The sequence below is a fragment of the Homo sapiens genome, chromosome 8 (genome assembly GCF_000001405.40).
Source record: "Homo sapiens chromosome 8, GRCh38.p14 Primary Assembly".
In the NCBI taxonomy this organism is placed as follows: domain Eukaryota; kingdom Metazoa; phylum Chordata; class Mammalia; order Primates; family Hominidae; genus Homo; species Homo sapiens.
Genome location: NC_000008.11, coordinates 6,054,618 through 6,079,182, shown reverse-complemented (window position 1 = coordinate 6,079,182; position 24,565 = coordinate 6,054,618). Strand labels below are relative to the sequence as shown.

Sequence of the window (24,565 nt, the reverse complement as noted above, 5' to 3'; positions counted from 1 at the left end):
CTCTTGACTTTTCTTTCTCCCGCCCCCTGCATCCCTGGCTCCTTCTCACCTTCAGGCCTCAGTAGGAATCTTCTCTGCAAGATTCTAAGACCGCTTGCCTCGAGTGAGCCCCTAGTCCCCCTGTGACTGCTCACCAGGACAAGTTGTGTTTCCCTCCTACTCCATAGTGCAGTGCAGAATGAATCGTTAGCGTTTAGGGGGTGGGTTTTGAGCCTCTCTCTCGCTGGATGGTAAGCTTCCTAAGGGTAGCAATCATGTCTGTTTTGGCCATCTCAGCAGAATCTACATGAGTTCTGGGCAAACAACAGGCATTCAGTAAATATTGGTTGGAGTCTCGAATGTATGTGGCTTTTACTGTGGGAATAAAGACAAGTTTGAGCTCTGCTTCTACCCTGCTTTGTTGATGTGGGGATGACATCAAATGATTTATGAGTTCCAAGTAACCACAGATGGATGTAGTTCCTTATAAGATGCACTAACATAGAGTCTTATAGATTTACACATGCTGTTGGTGGGGGCCCATGCCAACAAGTTAAGGTTGTAAGAAGTTTTCATTTTTTTCTTGAATGGGAAAATATTTACAAAGATTTTCTTCATTTGACAGCCTGGTAAGTAGCCTTCAATAGCTCTCCATTTTCCACCCGTCTGATGTAAATTCCCCCTGCCAATTTTTTGTCACTCTCTAAAATCTGACCTTCTCTAGTTTAACTTATTTTCCACTACTCGCTAATACACAGTTTACAGTTTAGACAGGTCCTATTGAGCCCTCACATGTCAAATTCACAGCTGGGTGTCTCTCACAGAGGTCCCACCACCTTTTATAGGGGACTTTCCTCATTCTTTGCCTTCAGTAACTTTTGCCAGATTCTTTCTGAGTTCAGCTTCCAACTTCCCCACTCCCTGGCTACTGGAGTCTCAGTGATCTCTCTGTCCTCTGAATGTTTGGTGTGTCTCTTGACTCAGCTCTCAATTCTGTCCTGTCCTTCAGTGCTCAAGGTGAGATCTCATATATGGGGCTTACCTGCTCACCTGATTAATCTTGATTTCCTTACCTGCAAAATACAGCTAATGCCTCTGTCACTGATGAAAGAGAGAGAAAATACTTCAAATACCTGGCTTGGCAGCAAGGCCGGTTCCCTCTTATTCTCTGTTTCTGCAGCCACAGCCCCCTGCAAAGCAGTGTGTTGCTTAAGAAATGGAATCTGATGGGCTGATTCCTAGTGGTGGACTAAGAGGTGGTTGGTGGAAGAATTGGGTAAAAGCCAGAGAGTGTGCCACCACTGAAATTAAGGGGGAAAGTTTTGTTTTCTCTCTTTTGTATTGTAGGCCAGGACACAGAGGGTTATTTGTCATTTTGCTTATGGACAAGAGAGTTTGGGAAAAAAGTAGAAGCTGCTAGTGGTACATTTGTATGGGAAATATTTTGACAAAACTTTATCCTAAGTACTTCACATAATTTCTTAGAAGAGAAGGGGAAACTAGCCAGCTAACCATATCTACTCTACACAAAGCAGGGTCCCAGACTGGGGACTAGAGAAAATAAAAAGTACTGGACATGGAGAGCCAAGCAGGTTAAATGACTGGAGGGTGTCAAAAGGACGTTTACCTGCTGAGCCTCCAGGCATCCATGAGCCTCCTTCCATGCATGGATGTGCACACACATACTCCGAGATGCCACAGACATAGACATGTGCACAGATACAACCAGACACACACATATGGACACACTGGCACACAGAGATACATACTCACACAGAGATACATACAAATGTGTGTGTGCACAGACAGATACACAGTCATACAGATACACACATGTGCACATAGATACACACAGATATATACGTCAACATGCAGACATATATGTACAGACATACACAGATACACATATATGCACACACAGAAACCCAGACACACACACGTGCACACAGATATATTATGTGCACACACAGATATACACGGAGATGTATACATACACACAGAGAGATACACTCATGCACGCAGATACATACCTGCATTCATACATGCACACAGGTACACAGATACATACATGAACACACTGACGTATATGTACAGATACACATATGCACACAGATACCTAGACATACACACACACAAATGGATGTGCAGACACACACATGCACACACAGATATACACACAGAGGCATACAGATACACACATGTACGTGGACACACAGATACACAGACACGCAGATACATGGACACACTTTCTTGCCTCTTCATTGCAAGGACACCTTCTGGCCACCAGGTGTCACTGCGTGAACCGCGCTGGAAGTCGCTGGGGGACTGGAGGGGGCTGGCAGTAGCTGTCATGGAGCCACTTTCTGAATGACCTTTAATGAAAACAGAGCTGCCAAAGTAGCTTGACAGCAAATTTTATTCGTAACAGAAAATCCATCCTAAGACTCACTGTAGAATTGCTCCAATTCATTTCTCTTATCTGAGATGGTCACAGTAAAAGCAGCTAAAGAAAAGAATCACAAATGGCCCACTTGGCTGGGCCCCTATGCATTCTTGGGAAAGGTTAATTGGAAACGGCTTCGAGCCTCGCCATACAGAAGAGTCTCGGCGAGGGGAGGTTATTCAACTACAGCCAAATGAAGACTTTTCTTTCAGAAGCAGGTGGAGGGGACCCTGAGTCCTCAGGTCCTGTGCCGTACGTAAGAAATGATACGGAAGCTCCGGGAGCTGATAGTCACATTCGCCTCTGTGCTTCCCTGCGCAGCTAGAACAATTCCATCACTCTCTCCTGTGTAACGAGCGTCCTTAACAAGCCTCAAATATGCATCCTCATGCCAACAGTTCCTGCAACAAAGGCAATCTGCACATTTCAAAAATCAAAAGCAATTTGGCTAAAATACCTGTAGTATAATGTGGTACATGCCTGTGGAAGCCTCCAGATCTGGGCTGCAGGCATTTCGCAAAGGCTGAGCCTCTCCAGGAGGCACATTTTTTGTAGAAGTGGCTTCACCGTTATTTAGTTTTTATGATCTGACTCATAGTGGGATCTCCTGTGGGCCAAGAAGGGCATCGAAGTGTCCATTGCTTTTTTGGAATCACGTAGACTGTCCGGTTTCTAGTTTAATGACAGCTTGACAAGGACTTCACAGTTGTCATCTACTGAAATGAGCTTTGGTGTATTTAAGCAGAAGAAAGAATTATTGAGATGATATTGGGAAGGTTGGGTATCAAGGCTCTGAAGATGGGCTGACATCGAAGAGCAGGCCCGGGGGCACAGCTCTCCTTGCTCACTGGGGACATTCTTGAAAGAGCCGTGCCACTGCTGCTTGTGGATGTCGGGCCTGGCTGCTGACCTTGAAGCCCTTCTGATTGCTCCCTGGGCATCATCTTGGAGACTCCGCCGTCATCCCTGTCCTGTCCAGTCATCCACCCCAGAGCCAAAGCCCACGGGTGTCCTTTGTCCTCCAGCTAGGAGACCCAAATCTGGATTCTTAGTCACTGTGATAATAGGCTGGCCAGACCATGCAAGGAATGTTGCCTGGAGCTCAGGCAGGAGTTTGGATGATGGTCAGCTACAAAGCCGCAGACATCCAAGTAGATTGCCGAGATTGGACTAGAAATTGAGAATAGTTTGTGGGCGGGCTTCGAAAGGTGCTGGGTGATTACTGGGTATATACCCAAAGGATTATAAATCATTCTACTATCAAGACACATGCACACATATGATTATTGCAGCACTATTTACAATAGCAAAGACTTTGAAGCAACCTAAATGCCCATCAATGATAGACTGGATAAAGAAAATGTGGCACATACATACTATGGAATACTATGTAGCCATAAAAAAGAAATGAGTTCATGTCCTTTGCAGGGACAGGGATGAGGGTGGAAACCATTATCCTCAGCAAACTAACACAGGAATAGAAACCAAACACCACATGTTCTCACTCATAAGTGGGAGTTGAATAATCAGAACACATGGACACAGGAAGGGAACATCATACACCAGGGCCTGTCTGGGGATAGGGTAAAGGGGAGGGAGAGCATTAGGACAAATATCTAATGCCTGTGGGCCTTAGAACCTAGATGATGTGTTGATAGGTGCAGCAAACCACCATGGCACATGTATACCTATGCACGTTCAACACATGTCTCCCAGAACTTAAAGTAAAATAAAAGAAAAAAAAGTGCTGGGTGGATTTGAACATGAGGCATATGTAATGCCCAGTGGACTAGTAGTGAGACATTTTTATCACAAGGGTTCATATTTAGGGCCATATCCCGTGCTGCAGCCAGGCACCCAGATGCAAACACTCCTGTCCCTGCTACTCTCAGCATTCCTACTGCATTCTGGGATCTGGCCTGTCCAAAATGCTCTCTCTCCTGCATGGCTGTGTGCTCCGAGCCATGTCTGGCCTCTGTCAGCCACTTCTCCTGGGCTTATACTGCCATCTCACACGCAGCATCCCTTTTAGGGTTCCCAGGGCATCTGGTGCCCCAACCTCCACCATGGCCAATTCTAAGATGCAGCCTGCTAACAGGTGCTTCGTTAGAGTCACCTGGGGTACTGCTTAGTGCAATCTGATCAGAATCTCCGGGGATGGGCTTGGACCCCAGACTTTTTACAGCCCTCCCCAGGTGAATCTGAGGAAGCAGACTTTATGGTTTAAAAAGTCCATTCAGTGTTTACTGAGCTAAGAGGAAGCCGACTTTATGGTTAGAAATGAACCCGGGAGGGGGAGCTTGCGGTGAGCCAAGATTGCGCCACAGCGCTCCAGCCTGGGTGACAGAGTGAGACTCCATCTCAAAAAAAAAAAAAAAAAAAAAAAAAAAAAAAAAAAAATTCCATTCAGTGTTTACTGAGCTAAGAGGAACCCGACTTTATGGTTAAAAAATCCCATTCAGTATTTACTGCGCTAAGAACGATGGTAGCGGCACCGTGGTGTTTGCTCTGGTGACATAAAGTGGCCTGGAGCATCTCAGCACCTCCTCTGCCTTCAGAACAGGGTGCTCTCCTCCACCTGTGAGCCTGGGAATGCTGTTTCCCTGTCCAACATGCCTAGCCTCCTCTCTCCCAGTCTGTGAGTCTTTCCCATCCTTCGGTTCTCTGCACCAGCGCAGCTTCCATTATGAGTCCCTCCCCTGCTCTTCCTGCCTGATCGGCCCCTTCTTGGAACTGTTGTCAGACTTACCTTCATTTTACTGCTTACTCTTGCCCCTTCGCTTATATCCACGGATTCACCCTCCACTCTGTGTATGTTGGGTTTGCTTAAACATGTATGTCTGTGTCTAGAGATGCACAGCATAGCCCTGCCTTTCAGAAGCGTGTGTTAATATTATCTTCCGATTAATCTCCTGTATTAATATTAATTCATGTCTTAGCAATTGGACTGTAGGAGTTTTGATGTCTGGGATTGTGGTGGATACCTTGATGTGAACTTCTCAGCGTGTAATAGATAGTGACCCCTCTTGCTTACAGCAATGCACTGAGTGAATTTTTTAAACCATTTATGGCTATGGTCTGCCTTACAATGGGGGACTTCTCCCTAATAGAATACTTTTGATTCAGGGCTTACAGGAGCATGACACTGTACACAACTTTTATGATTCTTAGTAATAGCACAGTTGCTGACAGATAGGAGATGATACAGCCAAGTACAGGGAGGGAGGTTAGGAGTATTTTCTTGGTATCTGTAAAAAAAATCATAGGTACGGTTTTATGAGTCCTTTCATGTTCCTGCCATGGTGCTGAGTGTTTATGTGCATTATCCACGTCATCCTCATGGCAACCCCAGGAGTTTGGTGTCACCAGTCCCATGTTATAGATGAAGATAAAAGGCACAGCAATGATGGGTAATCACGATTCCACGCTGAATAGCAGAGCTGAGCTTCACCTCCAAGTCATGCCGCTTTTTCATGTTGCCTGTGTTTGTGTGCATGTTTGTGTGCATTTGTGTGTGTATGTTTGTGTGTGCGTGTGTGTGCATCTGTGTGTGTATGTTTGTGTGTGCGTGTGTGTGCATTTGTGTGTGTATGTTTGTGTGTGCTTGTGTGTGCATTTGTGTGTGTATGTTTGTGTGTGCGTGTGTGTTTCTCTGTGTGTGTGTGTTTGTGCATGTGTGGGTTTGTGTATTTGTGTGTGTGCATCTGTGTGTGCGTGTGTTTTGTATGTGTGTTTGTGCATGTGTTCATACGTGTGTGTGCATGTGTTTGTGTATGTGTGGGTTTGTGTGTGTGTGTGTGCATGTGTGTGTACATGTGTGCATGTGTGTATGTGTGTTTCGAAATCAGTTACTCCGAGTGGAAGTCAGAGGGAAAGGAAATTCTAACGTGGTGTTGAAGACATTACTGCAGCATCAAAACCAAGAAGGAAAGGTCATGGGTGGATCGAGTGAGAATGAAAGGGTGGGCGGATGGGCAGGACTGGGGTGAATCCTAGCAGAAGAAGTTGCAAAAACCCAGCCCCTGCTTGGCAGAGAATGTTGTTTAGAAGCAGGTGAGAGATCTCTAAGAAACTACCTGCTGTTTGTTGTTATTCCTTGTTCCCTCTGTAGGAGGTTTGGACAGGCACTCTCCCACTGACGTGCTTGTAACTTTCATTGTGACCTTTATCAACAGACTCGCCCCGTGGAGAGAATAAATTGGATGCATGACCAGACCTCTGAGAGGCTGCGTCTCCAGGCAGCTGGTGGGAAGCTGTCTGGAAACAAACACATTTTCCAGCTTGCTCGACCCTCACATTTCCAAAGCAGAAGGTGTGTGATGTGGACTAACTGAAACTTGCCACCAGCTTGTCTCATCTCTCATGAAACTGCTGGAAGAAACACAGTGGATAATGACTCATTCCTGTGCTCATGTCCAGATAATAACTCTCACTTCTTAATAACTTCCCTCTGGCCATCGATATCTCAAATGCAATAAAATGTTGTAAGCTGGCCGATGATATTTTCATTAGATGTGAAGCAATTTTAGCAAAGCAAGATATAGATGATACAGGGCAAAATGCTACCTCTGACCAAATGAAGAGGTGAGCTGGAAAGTACATGAAAATAGGACTTAAGGTCAGAACAGGGAGGCCAAGAGTTCCTGTTCCTAGGAGAGTGAGAGAATGCCTCATCTTCCTGTCCTTGTTGCTGATTGACCTGTCTTGGTGTTTGGAAGGTAGGCATTCACCTGGACTGGCCACGTGTGGGTGCTGCGTGTTAGGTCATAAGGGATGTGGCAGGATGCAGGAGCTACTTGGCTTTCATATGCGTGTGGGAGGGGGAGAATTTTGACCTTCCACTGAAGAGAACAGGATACTTCTCTGGGCTCTATTTCCACGTAGTAGGCTGTCCTCAAGCAAGTTCTCTAGCTTCTCAGGATCTCAATTTTTTGTTGTTGTGTTTTTGAGACAGGGTCTCTCTCTGTTGCCCAGGCTGGAGTACAGCAGCATGACCTCTGTTTCCTGCAATCTCTGCCTCCCAGGCTCAAGCGATCCTCCTGCCTTGGCCTCCCAAGTAGGTGGGAGTATAGGTGCATGCCACCACACCTGGCTAATTTTCAAAAATTTTTTTATAGAGACAGATTCTCCCTATGTTGCTCAGGCTGGTCTACAAACTCTTGGGCTCAAGGCATCCTGCTTCCTCAGCCTCCCAAAGTGTTGGTATTACAGGTGTGAACCACCACACCTGCCTTCTTTACCAGTGAAGCTGCCTGACCTAGGTTTCCATAGGCTAGTCTTAGTTTGTTTGGCCTTCTGTAACAGAATATCTTCAACTGGCCATGATCTCATTTTTCTCTGTGTAAAATCAGTTACAAAGTCTCCTTGTGCCCTTCCCACTCTGAAATCCTATGCTTTTGCCCCTTTCCAGTGACAAATCTAATAGTTAAACAGAAAGACAAAGCAGTAAGCTTGAAAACCAAAATCACAAGTCTGGATGGCAGATAGGCGTTCAGAGGACAAGGTGGTCATTGTGGACTAGATATTCCATGGGGGAGTTTTGGCCTTAGCTGGACTCTAAAGGAACCCAGGACTGAGTCCTTGGAGAGGAAGATTCTGGAGGTTAGATGGAGAGGACAGCAGGAGCACTGGCCCCGCATGAGCTAGTGGCCCTTCCCTAAGACGGAGAAGATCTTTGTCCTTCTGATGGAGAGCTTGTCTCATTTTTGTCTGTCTGTCTGTTCTTCAGAATACCCTGAAAATGTTTTTAGCATACGATTTCAGAATCCTCACGAAAAGCCTCAGTGTTTCTACAGTTATAGAGAGATTCTAAAAATGTGTGGATCAAGGGTTACCACTTCCACTTATTAACCTACTTGTGGTAGGTAATATATTCATCACATTCACTTGCATGTAGATATTACTCTCTTCTAAAGGCATACAGCCATTCATCCAATTTCATACAGTAATTATCCAAGGCTCTCTGCCCCTAGTTACAAGAACTGAGTTAATGTGCTCCTGAGTCTGTCTATATTTTTAATGATCATTTCATTTCCCTCATTAAGCATTTAGGTTGGTCATTTGAAACGTCCAAATTGATAATGTTCTTTCATCTTTATGTGGTTTTCATGGAAGCATGAGAACTCCTCAAAGACAGAGCAATGGCTCTAAAATGGATCTGCTCCAGTCACTAGAACTCCTGCATTCCCAGGACCAACACCTGTGTATCCAGGACCATGTTTTCCAGCCCAGAAATGACTCCTGCACACCTAAAGATACCCCATCAGCCCTCACCTCGCCTGTAAGCCTCCTTCCCAGGAAATAAAAGCAGAGGAACAAAGAAGCCACAGATGAACAAAGAGTTTCATCTCGGGGATATGGAAATGAAATACACTGCATAACTGTTAAAGACTGAATTGTGTCCTCCTGAAATTCATATGTGAAGCCTTCATGCCTAATGTGACTGTATTTGGAGACAGGGGCTTTAAATAAGTCATTAAATGTTATCAGTCCATTCTCACCCTGTTAATAAAGACATAGCCAAGACTGGGTAATTTATAAAGGAAAGAAGTTTAATTGACTCACAGTTCCACATGGCTGGGGAGGCCTCACTATCATGGCAGAAGATGAAGGAAAAGCAAAGGGATGCCTTACAAGGCAGCTGGCAAAGATAACTTGTGCAGGGGAGCTCCCATTTATAAAACCATCAGACCTCATGATGGTTTTTCACTACCACAAGAACAGTATGGGGGCAACCGTCCCCAGGATTCAATGATCTCCCTCTGGCTCCCTCCCATGACATGTGGGAATTATGGGAACTACAATTCAAGATGAGATTGGGGTGGAGACACAGCCAAGCCATATCATTAAGGTGAAATGAAGTCAAAAGGAAGGGGCCCTACCTCATACGACTGTGGCCTTATAAGAACAGGAAGAGACACCGGGGATGCAGGTACACAGAGAAAGGGCCATATGAGGACACAGCTGGGAGATGGTCATCTGTAACCCAAGGAGAGAGACTTTAGGAGAAACCAACCCTGCCCACGCATTGTTCTCGGACTTCCAGCCTCCAGGACTGCAAGATAATAAGTTCCTGTTGTTTAAGCCACCCAGTCTCTGATATTTTGTTTTACAGCAGCCCAGGTAAACAAATGCAATAACAATAGAAGAAAACTGATCAGTGGAACAGAAAAACCAACAGAATGGATGTCTTTCACCATGACTATGAAAAGCTTGGAAAAGGATTCCACTAAAGCTGACAATTCTTTCATAGCTGGATTACGGAACAGTTGGACATGAAACAAAATAAAAACGATCACAGCTCTCCCTCTGTGCCTGAAGCAGTTTCTAGGGGGAAATTCAAACATGAAAAGCCAAGCGGATGATCTGAGGTGTTGTTAACTCAAGTGAAGGCGCCAAGCATCAGGCAACGTGGACTTTCTGACCAGCACCGTGTTCTTGCCTGCAAAGCTCCTTATTAGTAGGGATTGTCACAACCCTGGAAATAAACTTTTCTCAGGTGACACATCTTCAGTGAGAACATTGTTTGAGGCCTCTGTGCTCAAGAGACCGTGTTTGGTTTTTGAAATGTTTAGTTTTCTCCTTTAGAATGGAATAGCCTGGGGAGGAATAAGGATTGTGGGTGGCACCTGCCCAGGAGATGCTTTCTTTCTCCCTGTAATCCAGATACAATGCTATTTTTATCTATTAGGTGGCAAAAGCAGCAATGATTGTGCCTTTCATCTTTTTTTATGAGGTAAAGCTGCAGGCCAGGGGATGTATTTAGCTATTCTGTTCTACAGAGAGCCTTCTGGACAGCTGATCTTGAACGATGTGCAGTTGCTAAGGTTGCTAGCTTCTCCAGAGTAATTCCTGTTGAAGGCTTTCCCACCATCTTGCACAGTTGGAGTCTGGGGCTGTTAAGAAGTTTAAGAAGAAAAACAAAGCAAAACAGAGAAAACAAACAAGCTCACCAGCTTCATCATGTAAGCAAAGATATCTTATGAAGGAATTGGTTCAGTTCACATAAAAACCTTGGTATACAGAGGCAGGAAAATATCATTATACCCATTTCACAGAAGGAGAAACAAGGAGTGATGAAAAAGAAGGAATGAGGAGGAGAAGGAAGGAAGGAGAGGAGAAGGAAGGAAGGAAAGCAGAAAGGAAGGAGGATGGGAAAGAAGGGAGGAAGAAAGAAGGATGGGAGGGAGGAAAAGAAAGGAAGGAGAATGAGAGAGAGGGAAGGAAAGAAGGAAGGGAGGGATAAATGACAGAGGGAATGAAGGAGGGAAGGAAGGAAGGAAAGGATAGAGGAAGGGAGGGAGTAAGGCACAAAGGTAGGTGCGGGGGTCCAGGCATGAAGGGAATGTACCTTTCATGAGTGTGGTTACATTGAACTGCATGTGCTTTCCGTTGGAAACCATAAAGTCATAATGGACTCTTCTGAAACGGAGCCACCTGGTCTACCATAGTCTCTTCTGAAGAGACTCAGTCAAGATGATGCCATGTAGGGTGGGTAAGAGGCAAGGGTCCAAGTTCCCTTTAGCTCTTCACCGTGGTTTAGTCATTCAACCTTTTCACTAAGCTCTAGTGAAAGGATTGAGCTTGAATCCCTGCGTCATCATTTACTAGCTTTGTAGTCTTGGGTTAATAACTCATTTAATGAGCAAAAATGGGATGAAACTATCCGCCTTTTAGGATGGCTATGATGTGAGCTCAGATTATGTGCAGTGGTTGCTTAAAAATTGGCAGGTCCTGTGGAGATGGAGCTGTGTCATTCTGTTCCTCGCCTTCAGGGCGTCCCACAGCGTAGTGTGGTGCTCGCACCTGTCTGCGTTCACCATGAGTCATCGCTGCACCTGCATCTTGTGGCGTTTATGCGATAGTGATCATAAAGGTAAGTGCAGCAGCTAATGTTCATTGAGTGTTTGCCACTCACCAGGTGATGTTCTAAGTGCATTTTATATATTATTTTATTTCCAGCACATTTTGAGGAAACTGGGGAAGAGGGGTTAAGCAGCTGGACCCATGCCTTGCCACTGGTAAATGGTGGGCCTGGAATTTGAGACCAGGGACCTTGACTTCAGACCCCGTGATCCCAACAGCTCCACCATAGTTCACTCTGTTTCTAGCTTGAAATGTAGCTGCTGATTAATTCTTTATGCCTTTTTCCATAGCTGGTGATTAGAATAATTGCTTTTCAGTTAATCTTCTCATGATATCAAACCTTTTTTGCATTCCATGATGTTGTGTGTGTGTATGTGTGTGTGTGCAAGTGTGTGTGTAAGTGTGTGTGTGTGCATGTGTGTGTGTGTGTGATTCTCTTGTTTTTAGTAAAAATAAACAGGAGGGTTTTCGTACCCACAGATTTGAGTTTTGAAAGCTCTTGTGTAGCACTGGGTGGGGTGTGAAAAAGAGAGGAGAGGGAATTGTCATTTTCTTTTCCTGTAGAGATCTTTAAATTGAGATGGGTTATCTAACTGAAAGACTAAGAGGGGTGCTAGGATTAAGATTCTAGGACGGTCTCTGAGACCCAGGCTGGAAAGCATAAATTCGCTCCTCCCTACTGTGAGTCAGTGACTCTCGGGGGGATACGGCAAATCCTGGGCTCTGAGTCCCAGGTTCTGTTTCTCTTTGGAGGGCTATGTAGGGAAGGAGCCTGTCCAGCATTGGCCCAGGACATTGGATCTAGCCACACAGACATGTTTGCTGAGAACTTACCTGGTGCCAGGCTTTGTACATTATGTCCTTGATCTCACAATAAAACCTGCACAGAAGCAATATTTTCTCCATTTGTAGAGAGGTGGAAATGAAGGCTTAGAGAGGTTGTAACTTTTTTCAGAACCCAAAACTCATAAATGGAAAAGGCCAGTTATGCCTAAAATTGGTATAAAACCTTGGAGAAAATATACTATACATATAAAAGCTGAGATAGGATAAATTACTGTTGTTTAAGCCACCCAGTCTATAGTATTTTGTTTTATGGCAGCCGAAGTAAACAAGTGCAGTAACAATAGAAGAAAACTGATCAGTAGAAACAGAAAAACCAACAGAATGGTTGGTTTAATTTCAGAAGATGTTGGTAAAGTTCTTTACAAGCCCCAAGCTTTCCCTTTATGGTCGTGTCAAGAGGCCTGAAAGCTATCCAAAATGGTACCCAGTCCTCCCACACATGTGTACACACACACACACACACACATACACATCATGGAATGCAAAAAAATCAAAGCTCAAGCATTGAGCATGCCTCTCTCTGTGCTTTACCACCTAACATAATAAAGGTTTTTAAAATGTTGAACAAAAAATGAATTCTGGCTTGGGTAAACAAGGCTTGGAAAGGAATGAAATGCAGGCAATTTTAATTTACTGGCAGTAGCAGCTTCTTCCTTACTAGCATTTAAAGCCAATTAGCAAAGATGGAGAAAAAATTCTAAACATCGGAAACTTCATAAACAAAAACTCACTAATCCAGGAAGCTGCATGGCTCGCCGCCCAATTATACTCACGAAAGCAGCACATGGCTGTCACTGAAGAACAGCCAACAGTGCTCTGAAATGAATCGTGATGGGTGTAGAAAACGTCTGAATTATGTAATAATAGCTTACATCGGTATACCATTTTGATACGCGGTATCTCTTTAAACAGTCACAGCATCCCTGAGACACAGCTAGGGGAGCCATTGCTCTGCCCACTGAATGGAAGGGGAAACTGAAGTGCAGCCTCCTGAACTGATTCTCCAAAGATTACATAACTGATCAGTGGGAGAATGGAACCACCCCTCCTCAGTGGGACACCTTTTTCCTCTCTTTTTTTTTCCCTTAAAATTCATGAGATGATAGATACAAAATGGAAGGATCTGTAGAAACTCCACAATTGGGGCTTATTTGGTAGAACTGTGGAGGACAGATCTGTTTAAATAAATGGGCCTTTCACCTGAAATTCTTCTCTTCCAACATGGTCACACGTGCATTACCCAATAGGGGATGTCAACTCACAATTAACATGAGCTATTTAATAAAGCCCATCTCCACGAGCCAGAGGTTTATGACAGGAAGTGATTTTATTTTACTAATGTGGACAAAACTCTCCATGATACAGCTGGGACTTTAACTCAGGTTTAAAAAATAATTGAAGAGTTGCTAGTCACTTGATAACGAGGGGAGATAAGCAACTCACAGAAGATGAATTGAGGAAAATGAGAGGAAAGGCTGAAAAGGAAGGTTGCTATAGCAATGACAGAATTCACCTTTTCCCCATAATGACAGTGAAGGTCAGAATGGGCCTTGGGTCCCAGATGGTACCATTGAAATGGAAGAAATCAGGTATTCTATGGCAATTCTCTCCCAAGGCACTGCCTGGGTTATGTAGATCTCTTTAAGCTAAACTTCCGTGCTTTTAATCTTCTTTACCTCTTAGGACTCTTTTCAATCTCTCTTCATTTCTGTACCGCTTATCATTCCACCCATATTTTTGGCGAATTTTATCGTTTAGCCCTTAAATAGAATTGAGTTTTTCATTATACATTGACTCAGCGATCTGCAAGTAATGGATGCATTTAAAAATGACGACAATGGAACCTAAACCCAAAGAGTTGTAGACTCATTCAGAAGGCACCAGGGATGCGTTCGGCAGTGGGAAAACCACAGTACCCAACTGCACAGAAGCACGCTCTTGTGGGAGAGCAATGAGACTCACAGGGACCCTCCAGGGATTGTGAATTCACAGGGGGATGAGACTGCACCTCGCTTTGAGTCTAGATTATTAACAGTTTTATTTATCATCACCAAGAGCTTTATTTATGATCAGCAAGAACTTGATTTAGAGGAACGACACCTTATTTAATTGAAATTGTCAGGGAAACTTAGTGAGGAAGAATGTAATTATGATGCTCGGTAATTAGCTCTGTTGGCATGAAGCAGGCAGGGATCGGAGTGAAATGCTGAAAAGTAAATCAGGATCCCTGATTTCTGGGAGTTCTGGTCCCACCCCTAATTCCCTGGTCATCTGGGAGGAATGACTGTCATTTCTCCTCTCTCCCTTATTTTTCTTTTTACTGTTTTGCTGTATGTAATAGAGCAATGTATTCTTGAACTACAAGATCCTGGAGGGAAGGAATTCTCTTATTTATCTCCGTAAAAGACCCAGCAACGCATTCTTTCTCTGGGATTTTCTTTTTTGTCTGTAAAACAGTAATTTTTTTGGGGGGATGTGGGAAGGGAGATCTATTTGTTTTTTTTTTTACGCTTTACTATATCCCCTTATCTTTACCTCTTCCCTTCATTTGATTATTTCCCGCTGGATTTCTGATATCATGTTGTCGTCTTCTATTGATACTTTTCTCTACTTACACTTCATATACTTCCTTTTTTTTTCTTCCTCTCTGCTACTGATGTATCTGTGCCAGTTGTTTTCCCCTCTGGTGATGTGTAGATTTATGAACAAAATGACTTAAGTTATTTGGCATACATTATGGCTTGAAGATAAACTAGATGGAGATTTAAAATGAACTTGTCTGTTCCCCAATTGCATTGATGTTTATAATGATGGCTTTAGAAGTTGTTTATTATAAAAAATGACTTAATGAAGGACAGCATATTTGAGTGAATGAGCTTAACTACTTGCATCTTACATGTGTGCAAAGCCAGTGGGCAGTGGTTTTTTTTTTTTTTTTTATTGTTTCTCCAGTAGTATGGCACATCCATCTTCAATTATTTACAGGAATCTCATGGCATCTTGATTCCCTCAGCTTGTCAAAAAAAATTGCAATGAACAGCAAAGAAGACTATATTCAAGCTTATTGCAATTGGGGAAAGAGACTATTAAAATAGGGGAGAGACATAGAAATAAACTCTTAAAACAAGGGGGAGAGTTTGTCAGCACTGGGGTGAGCTAGCAGGAAGCACTGGAGGACTTTGGAGGGGAGGGTAGCCGATATGCTTAATTGTCTGTGTTTGTTAATTGGCATTTATTAAAGTTAGCCTCCTACCCTGCCACGTAGGCACTCAGAGATACATACACAGAGATATGTACACATGCATTTGTGCACACACAGATACAGACACTCATACAGATGCATACATGAATACACTGACATATATGTACAGAGATACACAGATACACATGCACACACAGACACATGTGTACACACAGAGATACATATGTGCACAAACAGATGTAAAAAGGGATGCATACATACACAGATAGATGGGGAAACAGGAAACCTATCCTTTTGAATGACTAAATTTCAAAGAGATAGCTCCCAGATCCTTGAGAAAGACGGTCTTGGGTTGCACAACTGGCAAGAGGCTGGGAAATAATTTACGTCTCAAAGGGGCAGAGAAAGAACTTACAATGATGAGTTTTCTAAAGTAAACATTCTAAGGAAAGGGAAGTCAGGGGTCTGGAATTGGGAAGAAGCCTGTCTAAAGTTTAGTCCTGCAGAGGGTTGCATTGACCTTGGCCAAGCTTAACAATTCATATGAAAATCTGATATATAGAAATATGCAATTTCTTGCAAGATTTATGTGGATTTATCATTAGCACTGGCCCAAAATGCAAAGGTGAACTAATCGTTGGCTAAGGAAAGTGATTTTGACTGCAAGCCAAAATGAGAGACATTAAAATAAAAATAAACAGAACATGGCAGTATCACGGGAAACATGTACCAGTGGTGCTATGCTATAAAGTGTAACTAAAATTAACCTCACATTCTCATAGTATATGTTTTCCTTTTTTTTTTTTTTAACAGAAAAGTGTGTAATTTGGTAATTTTGTCTATATTTTGTTTTTTTAAACTTCTCTAATTTTTTATTTGTGGTCAAGAGACATTGAGACATTGTAGAAGATCAGGAACTTGCATTCACATATTGGTCATATGACTTTCTCTTAACTTGGCCAACCTCAGTCTCTCTTAAAACAAATGGACACCATAAATGACTTGTATCATTGTCATGAAGATTGTTGTAGATGGTCAATAAGTGATGATTAAGCCAGACGTGGTGGCACTGCCTGTAGTCCCAGCAATTCGGAAGCCTGAAGTGGAAGGATCACTTGAGCCCAGGAATTTGAGTCCAACCTGGGCAACAGAGCAAGACCTCCATTGCTTAAAGAAAAGTGAAGATCAATAAGTGATTATCTTATTATTATTCTTTATGAAATATGAGAAGTGCCTTAAACCTGAGACCTTCTATAACCTTTAATTTTGAGAAAGGCTACACTTTGTGAAAACAAAGTTCTACTTGGCTTAGGGAGACACAGATTGCTATTTGTGTCTCCCTGTCACAGTGTCTGTCACAGTGGTACAATGTTTTCAATTTTTAATTTTACTATTTTAAAATTGTCTTTTATTTCAATGGACTTAGGGGTACAAGCTGTTTTGGTTACATAGATGAACTGTACAGTGGTGAAGTCTATGATTTAAATGCACCTATCACCTGAGTAGTGTACATTGCACCTAATAGGTAGTTTTTCATCCTTTACCCTCTTCTTACCCTTTCTCTTTCTGTGTCTCCAGTGTCCAAAACTTGAGATTAGCCCGGGAGGGTTCTTGGCTTCATCCAGGAAAAGAATTCAAGGGCAAGCCAGTGGTGTTAGTAACTTGTGTTGAAGTGGCCGTGCACAGCAGAGGGCCTGCTCTTTGCAGAGCAGGGCTATGTCACAGGCAGTGTGCCCAGAGTAGCAGCTCAGAGGAGCTCTGCAGCCATATTTATACTCACTTTTAATTACATGCACATTAAAGGGCGGTTTGTGCAGAAAGTTTTAGGATGAGGCTGGTAATTTCCAGGTTGTCAGACATATATGGGTCTGCCTGTCAAGAGAATTTGGGGAGAGGAATCTAGGGAGGGGCTTATTTGGAAGGAATGTACTGCACCGTGAGACCAGGTTTTTTACTTGGGGAAGGGCTGAGTGAGCTGTCCTCCCTCCTGAGCCTGGTGTGAGGGCTTCCAGAGGTCCCTTGGAGAGCTCTGAAATGTGCTTTTTTCTAGACGGACTCTGGTGGAAGAGACTGGCTAATGCCCTTCTCAGCTCTGGGCAAAGCAGAGATGAGGTCCCTCCTTTTGTGTGGGGATCAGCACTCACTGCCCTAGCATATGAATGTTTGCTGTACCCCAAATGTAGGCTACACTGGGTTATCCTGAGTGCTCTTTCCAGGACCACCTGAGGGGACAGAGCTCTCATTTGGAAGGGGGCAAAGGTGACCATGAGGTGCCCTGGGTGCCCAGTCGAGTGATGATCTGAGGCTCCAAAGAGCTTATGAAAACCACTATGAGAAAGAGGCAGTGATATTTTTGGCTGTGTCTCCACCGAAAATCTCATCTTGAATTGTAATTCCCATAATCCCCACGTGCCAAGGGAGAGACCAGGTGGAGGCAATTGAATCAGGGGGGTGGTTTCCCCCATGCTGTTCTCGGGTTAGTGAGTGAATTCTCATGAGATCCGATGGTTTTATAAGTGGTTGTTCTGCCTGTGTTCATTCTCCTTCCTGCCACCTTGTGAAGAAGGTGTCTTGCCTCCCGTTCATCTTCCATCATGATTGTGAGTTTCCTGAGGTCTCCCCAGCCATGGGGAACTGTGAGTCAATTAAACCTCTTTCCTTTATTAATTACCCGGTCTCAGGCAGTTGTTTATAACAGTGTGAAAATGGACTAATACAGGCAGCTATAAACTTCCAGACTCACCCAGGATATTAGCTCTGCTATCCCCAGGCTCAGAGGGTGTGAAACCTTCAGTTAGATGCTCTCCCTCCTCCCCAGCTTCAGCCTTGATGGGAGCAGTGCTGTTGGCCAGCAGGTGGAATGGACAGAGAGAGGATGAGAAGGAAGATTAGGGCCCCTTTCCCTTGGGGTAACATTAAAATCTTGGACCCAACATTCTAAGGAATGAGAATGAGTTTAGGAATGAGTTCATTCCAATGAATGAGCTGCATTTAGACTCAACATGAGCAAGGACCTCTCCAGCGACCTAGACTGACTGAGCAGAAAAGCTGCTGGACCTGCAGAAGTTTTCGTCAGGGCAGGGGCAAAATTACTGCATGTGAATAAAGATCAACGAGATAGTGGGAGTCAAGAATAAAATAGTGCTTTTTAATGTCATGGGTTCGGCTTGCTCAACCTGCCAAGTTATTTCATTTGAATAAGATTTTTTAATGTATTAGTTTGTTTCTATTAATATTATGTTTTCTTAGTAATTCCACTGTTTTGGACAAAAAAAAAAAAACCCTTAACAGCTTCCTTTTGCAAATAAAATGGTAGTAGACACATAATTCAGACATTGTGTAAAATTTTATTAGTGAAGATTTTTTCCTGTTTTTTGAAATACTAATATTAAGCTTTTTTAAAATTTTACTTTAAGTTCTGGGATACATGTGCAGAACTTTTTTTTAACTAAGCAATAAATGTTATATTACATATCCTTACAATTACCATATTATTCATCATCCAGAAATGGGACATATTGTCTTTCCACATATGCTGAAATATTTGTTCTCACACAAAAACTATGGTTTTTGGGTAAAAATTTACCTTTTAAGTGAGTCTGACTGAGAAGTTACAATTTGTTTGCTGGTAGGCTGAATCCATCCATAGAGGTATAATTGTCTTTCATATACAGTAGCTTTTTTTTCTGTTTTTTTTTTTTTTAATTTGTATTTGAATTCCTTTAGATAAGCAATGCCCTCTTCTGTCTGCCATTGTCACTGCAAATTCCTTTGCTTTCACTCAGCCTGATTCTTACAGCTGCTTCAACTTCCTGACCCTTACATACTTCGGGGATTTTGACTCCTGCTACAGTTATAATGATCAATATGGGTTTTATATATATTTTTGAAAGACAGTTACAACTTTAATAGGGTTTATATATGAGGAACAGCAGTGTCTACTTGTGGAGTAAATCATATCAATGATTTTTTTTTCCCAAAATCAACATGGAATATATTAAGAGTGATTGATCAAGTAATCCTCCCCTAGGTATAAGAAGCATGCTGTGATATTGAGTCAATTGGTTGCCCAATCACAGACATCTTTCACTGACAGAGTAACAGGTAAGAAAAGGACCGTTTTAATATATGGCACCGATTGCTACAAGAATCGCTTTGAGGATTTCCTGGCATCTTTCTCATTTTTATTATTTTCTTATTTCTTTAAAGAATGCAATTAATTAAGAGCCTCAGCATCAGGGACTTAGCAAAGCTTATTTCCTTCCCAGTATTTTCTATTTGGCTTTATCCCCTATTTGGTGGTGGTTTTTTTTTTTTTTTCAAGACAAGGTCTCACTCTGTCACCCAGGTTGGAGTGTGGTGGCATGATCTCGGCTCACTGCAACCTTTACCTCCTGGGTTCAAGCGATTCTCCTGCCTCAGTTGCCCGAGTAGCTGGGATTACTAGTGTGCACCACCCCACCAAGCTGATTTTTATATTTTTAGTAGATACAGGGTTTCGCCATGTTGGCCAGGCTAGTCTCAAACTCCTGACCTCAAGTGATCTGCCAGCCTCGGCCTCCCAAAGTGCTGGGATTACGGGCGTGAGCCACCGCGCCCGGCCTTTACCCCTATTTGACTGCATACCTTCTTGGGTGATTAATACTTTTACCTCAGTGTCTTTTAATCATAGGAAACACAATAAACTAATCATATTTAGTGCTCCTACAGCAATGCTCATTTTCAAATCATATGAGAAGGCCTTGCTAACTGATGGTCGATGCTCACAGGTGTGTGGGCTTTGAGCAGTCGCTACACCTTCCCTCTTCAGGCATGATGAGAGGATTCCTGCAGCGTTTTGCAAGAGGTAATTATGAGCCTCTCCCAGTCTCTGGTCAACTTCCCTTCCTGGCACAGATTGGCCTCTTTGAAAGGGGGTATCCTTTTCAAGGAGATGCATGATGTGATTTTATAATTGGTAGGCGAAATTGGGGTCAAGGGAGTCCACTGAAGATTAAAAGCTCAGGCTGTCTCTGTGAAGCTGCTGTGGACAGGAGGACAAACAATTTGATTTCCCTTTGTTCGCAGGGGTTGTGAGGATGCTTCTGGATTCCAAGTCAAGTTCATGACTTATTCATAAACATATATTTAACTCATGTAACGTTAGAAACAGCTCTCTGAAGCCAACCCAAGTGCAATAACATCCCTCCCAATGGGGTGGATTCTACTTAATTTTGCTGGTGCTGGCAGTGTGTGCATATTATTTTGACTGGGAACATATTATTAGTGAGGATGGCCCTACATCCTGGTAATAATACATGTTAGCCCTTTAGAAGGCAATCAAATAAATGTGACAGTAGCCAAGTGTGTTAGTGTCCCGAAAGAGGTGTTCTGCGACACGGGGAAGGCTATCTCCATAACGAAATCAAGAAATATTCTTTTCCCAGCCTTGTGTTCTCTCTGACTCATTTTATTTTTATTATTTGTAGTTTTTGAGACAGGGCCTCACTCTGTCACTCAAGCTAGAGTACAGAGGCACGATCACAGTCACTCCAGCCTCCATCTCCAGGACTCAAGCAATCCTCCCACCTCAGCCTCCTGAGTAACTGGGACTACAAACGCATGCCATCATGCCTAGCTAATTTTTTTGTATTTTTTTTGTAGAGATGAAGTTTCATCATGTTGTCCAGGCTGATATCCAACTCCTAGGCTCAAGTGATCCTCCTACCTTGGCCTCTCAAAGTGCTGGGACTACAGACATAAGACACTGCACCTGACCTCTGATTCATTTTAACTCATAAAACTTTGAATATGCAATTGTGTTTAATTATCTTTCTTACGTTTTCTGTGACAGGTTTTCTGGACTTGACCAACAAAAGCGGTTAATATATTCCCTATAGTTAATTTTTATTTCCTGGAAGTTTAGGAGGCAGAAGAAAAGTGTGAAAGATATTGAGGAGGAAGTTTCAGTTAATACACACTCACACGCAAGCCCAGCCCCTGCAGTCATATCCTTCACTTTGCTTTGAGTGACAAATGGTGGTGACTTGTCACAGTGCTCTTAGTCTGAGGGAGGCTGGATGGGGTCTCACTGCACAGGGAGCACAGAATGGGAGCACGGCGGCTGGGGAGAGCCCTCCCCCCTTCCCGGCGCCAGCCTGATGGAGAGGAGATGAGACAGGCCAGGAGGAGGTCAGGTTGTGGCTGCAGATTAGGAAGGACCTGGTAGGGTTTTGATTGGGTTTTGGCTTTAATTCTGGGTGAGAGTGGAAGTCCTGGGAGGATTCTGAGCAGAGGAGTGACAAGCTGACATTTGGACGCCATCATGGTGCCTGCTGAGCCAGGGACAGAGTGTCGGGGCCCAGGCAGAGCAGGGCGGGGCTGGCGCAGGTGTCTGTGTGTGTGGTGGTGCAAGGGCATGGTGATGGGGGTGGTGATGGGGGATGGTGATGGGGGTGGTCTGCAGATTCTGGAGATGCTTTGAGGCTAGAGCCAACAGGATTTCCTAAGGATGGGCATTGGGTGGGAGAGAATGAAGAAAGTTGAAGATGGCTCTGGATTTTATTTTGTTTGTTTTTGTTTGAGCAATTCTAGTGAATGCAATTGTCATTAACAGCATAGGAAAGACTATGAGGGAAGCATGCTTGGCAGGGACAATAAAGGAATAGCTTTTCAGCTTTGGGCAGGTTAAGTTTGAGATGCCAGTCATATATCCCACAAGAGAGGCCATGCAGTTTGTTGGATGACGAGGTGTGAGTTCAGCTGGGCATGGTGGCTTGTGCCTGCAACTCCAGCACTTTTGAGAGGCTGAGGTGGGCAGGTCAGCTGAAGTCAGGAGTTCGAGGCCACCCTGGCCAACATGGTAAATCCCCATCTCTACTAAAAATACAAAAGTTAGCCAGGTGTGGTCGCGGATGCCTGTAATCTCAGCTACTGCAGAGGCTGAGGCAGGAGAATCACTTGAGCCCAGGAGATGGAGGTTGTGGTCAGCTGAGACTGCGTCACTGCACTCCAGCCTGGGTGACGGAGTGAGATTCTATCTCAAAACAACAACAAGAACAGCCAGCTTTGAGTTCAGGGGAGACATCGGGAATCATTAGTGAGAAGGGATGGGGTCTAGAGAGAACAGGGCAGAGGTAGTGGTCTGCGTCGGAAAGCAAGCTAGCAAAAACAACACAAAACAAAACAAAAAAAGGGTGGTGAGGAGAAGCCAGCTTGGACATGGAGGTGGCTCTCTGGAGGAGAAGCAGGGCAGGGTCGTGTCCTTAAGCTGAGGAAAGAAGGAGAGATGTTTCAAGGAGGAACAGCTGCACCCAAGCTACTGAGGGGCCACACAGGAGAAAACTGACAAGACACTGCTGAGGTTAGGCAGCGATGGGACATTGAGCACCATGGTGAGAGACTCAGGGAGGTGGTGGGAGAGAAATGATGATGGAAAGGGGTTTAAGAATGACCAGGAAAGATTTAAAACAGAGGGAGCAGATGATTCTTTTTCAGGAGTTTTATTGTGAAGTAAAAAGAGAGGAGGTTGTAGCTGGAGGGGATAAAGGTTATGAGTTTTGTTTTGTTTACCTTGCAAGACGGGAGAAAACCCCAACACTATTATAAACCAATGGGAATAATCTGGGAGAGTGAAAAAATTATGTCAAGAGGAGACGGGAGAGTTGCTGGGCAGTTTTCTTCAGGGCCTTGAGGTGAATGGGATTCAGTGAGCACCTAAGTGCAGGGTCCCTGAGAAGGGAGGGGGAACCTAGTGGTGAGTGTCTGTGGCTCCTGCGGGAGGGAGAAGATGTCAGGCCTTTCTGAACTGGCTTCTCGGCTTTTTCCTCCTCTATCAGCTGGTATCAGTTCGCTGGGATGCTGGCTCCTGAAGTGGGACCATCAGGAGACACGTCCCTTCCTGAAATTTGGAAATTGTTTTAGGAGAGGGAGAAGAAAACTTGTCAACAAAAGAACACAAGGAAACAAGGCATGTGAGTGAGTGAGTGTGCATGTGTGGTGTGCACGTGAGTGTGGGATGCAGGGACAGGACCCATAGTCTAGAAAATGTAAGAGGCTAAAAAACTGCATGTGAGAGCCCACACAAAGGGTTATCTATAGACTAATCCTAAAAAAAAAAGCCTCAATTTCTATGGTGGAAATATCTGGCCACCTTAGAAAATGGTGGGAGGATAGTGGGCTACAGGATTTCTGTGTCAAATTAATAAGAATAAGGGAAAATGAGACATGATTTTGATCTGTGTTCCACCTTGGAGTGCTCCTTTGGTTCGCAGTGGTCTAGGTGTGTGGAGCACAGCCTCAAACACAGATATGCATTTATGCAGGACATGGTCCCTGAACAGACTCAAGCTCTACCAGGGACCTATGGGCATCCCTGTCATAGTTTTATATTAGTATACAGTTTCCTGACTTTGATGGTTGTGCCATGGTTATATAAGACAGCGTCCCTGTTCTGAGAAAATACATGGAAATCTTCAGGGATAGAGTGTCTTGACGTCTCCAACTTACTCATGAATGGTGTGGGAAAAATAGAGAGAGACACTGATAAAGTGAATGGGACACAATACAATATTACACTTATATTTTTGCTAATTTTCTCTAAGTTTGAAACATGATCAAAGTTGCTGAGTGGGGTGGGCCTGGCAGTCTGTTTCCCAGGCTCTGCCTCGTCCTCTAGAGCTTTATGAAGCTCCCATCCTTCCAGTGGCAGATGGAGCATGCTTGGGGTGGGAGGTGCGGTCTGTATCAACCCCCTTCCCCATTTTTAATATGAACAATGGACACTTTCTCAATATTGGGCGAATATCATTGTGCAAGCAACAGTAAGACAGGCCTTCTGCCCTTTCTTCAGCTCAGACTGTGGCTCCCAATTCCTGCTCTGTGGGGTTTCTGCAGCCATCCTGCCCACCCTATGTATCGGTGTCTTTTCCAAGTGTGAACGATTAAACAGCTCTGCTGTGTGGAAGCATAACTTCTGATGGCTTCTTACTCTGAGGAAGAAACACCTCTCACATTCGCACTGTCTTCCCCCCTTAAAAAGGTCGGGTATACCGGTATCTTTGACTGATGTTTCTCCTGGAGTTTGGAGTGAAGCTCTGCAGAGTAGAAGATATTGATGGGCTTCGTAATTATTAGGAAGACACGAGATGAGATTGGTATCTTAAATTTATTTAGAAATTCATCACTGTAGAATTATTGGCCATAATCCAAACAAATTCTTGCACAAAAGTACACATTTGGTTGGCCTACAT

The 24,565-nt window shown here is 43.8% G+C and overlaps 1 long non-coding RNA gene across 3 annotated transcripts; it reads left to right on the top strand.

The window, feature by feature from the left end:
* The first annotated feature begins 13,062 nt into the window (after nucleotides 1-13,062).
* LOC105377797 (uncharacterized) lies at nucleotides 13,063-21,124 on the top strand. Of its 3 annotated transcripts, none has more exons than XR_941380.3 (4): nucleotides 13,063-13,185; nucleotides 19,366-19,439; nucleotides 20,046-20,181; nucleotides 20,979-21,124. It is a non-coding gene; the product is annotated as an uncharacterized LOC105377797 (long non-coding RNA). The 3 variants fall into 3 exon arrangements; XR_941385.2 differs by having other exon boundaries at nucleotides 13,063-13,158; nucleotides 20,105-20,181; nucleotides 20,979-21,017; XR_941384.2 differs by having other exon boundaries at nucleotides 20,105-20,181; nucleotides 20,979-21,017.
* The last annotated feature ends 3,441 nt before the right edge of the window (nucleotides 21,125-24,565 follow it).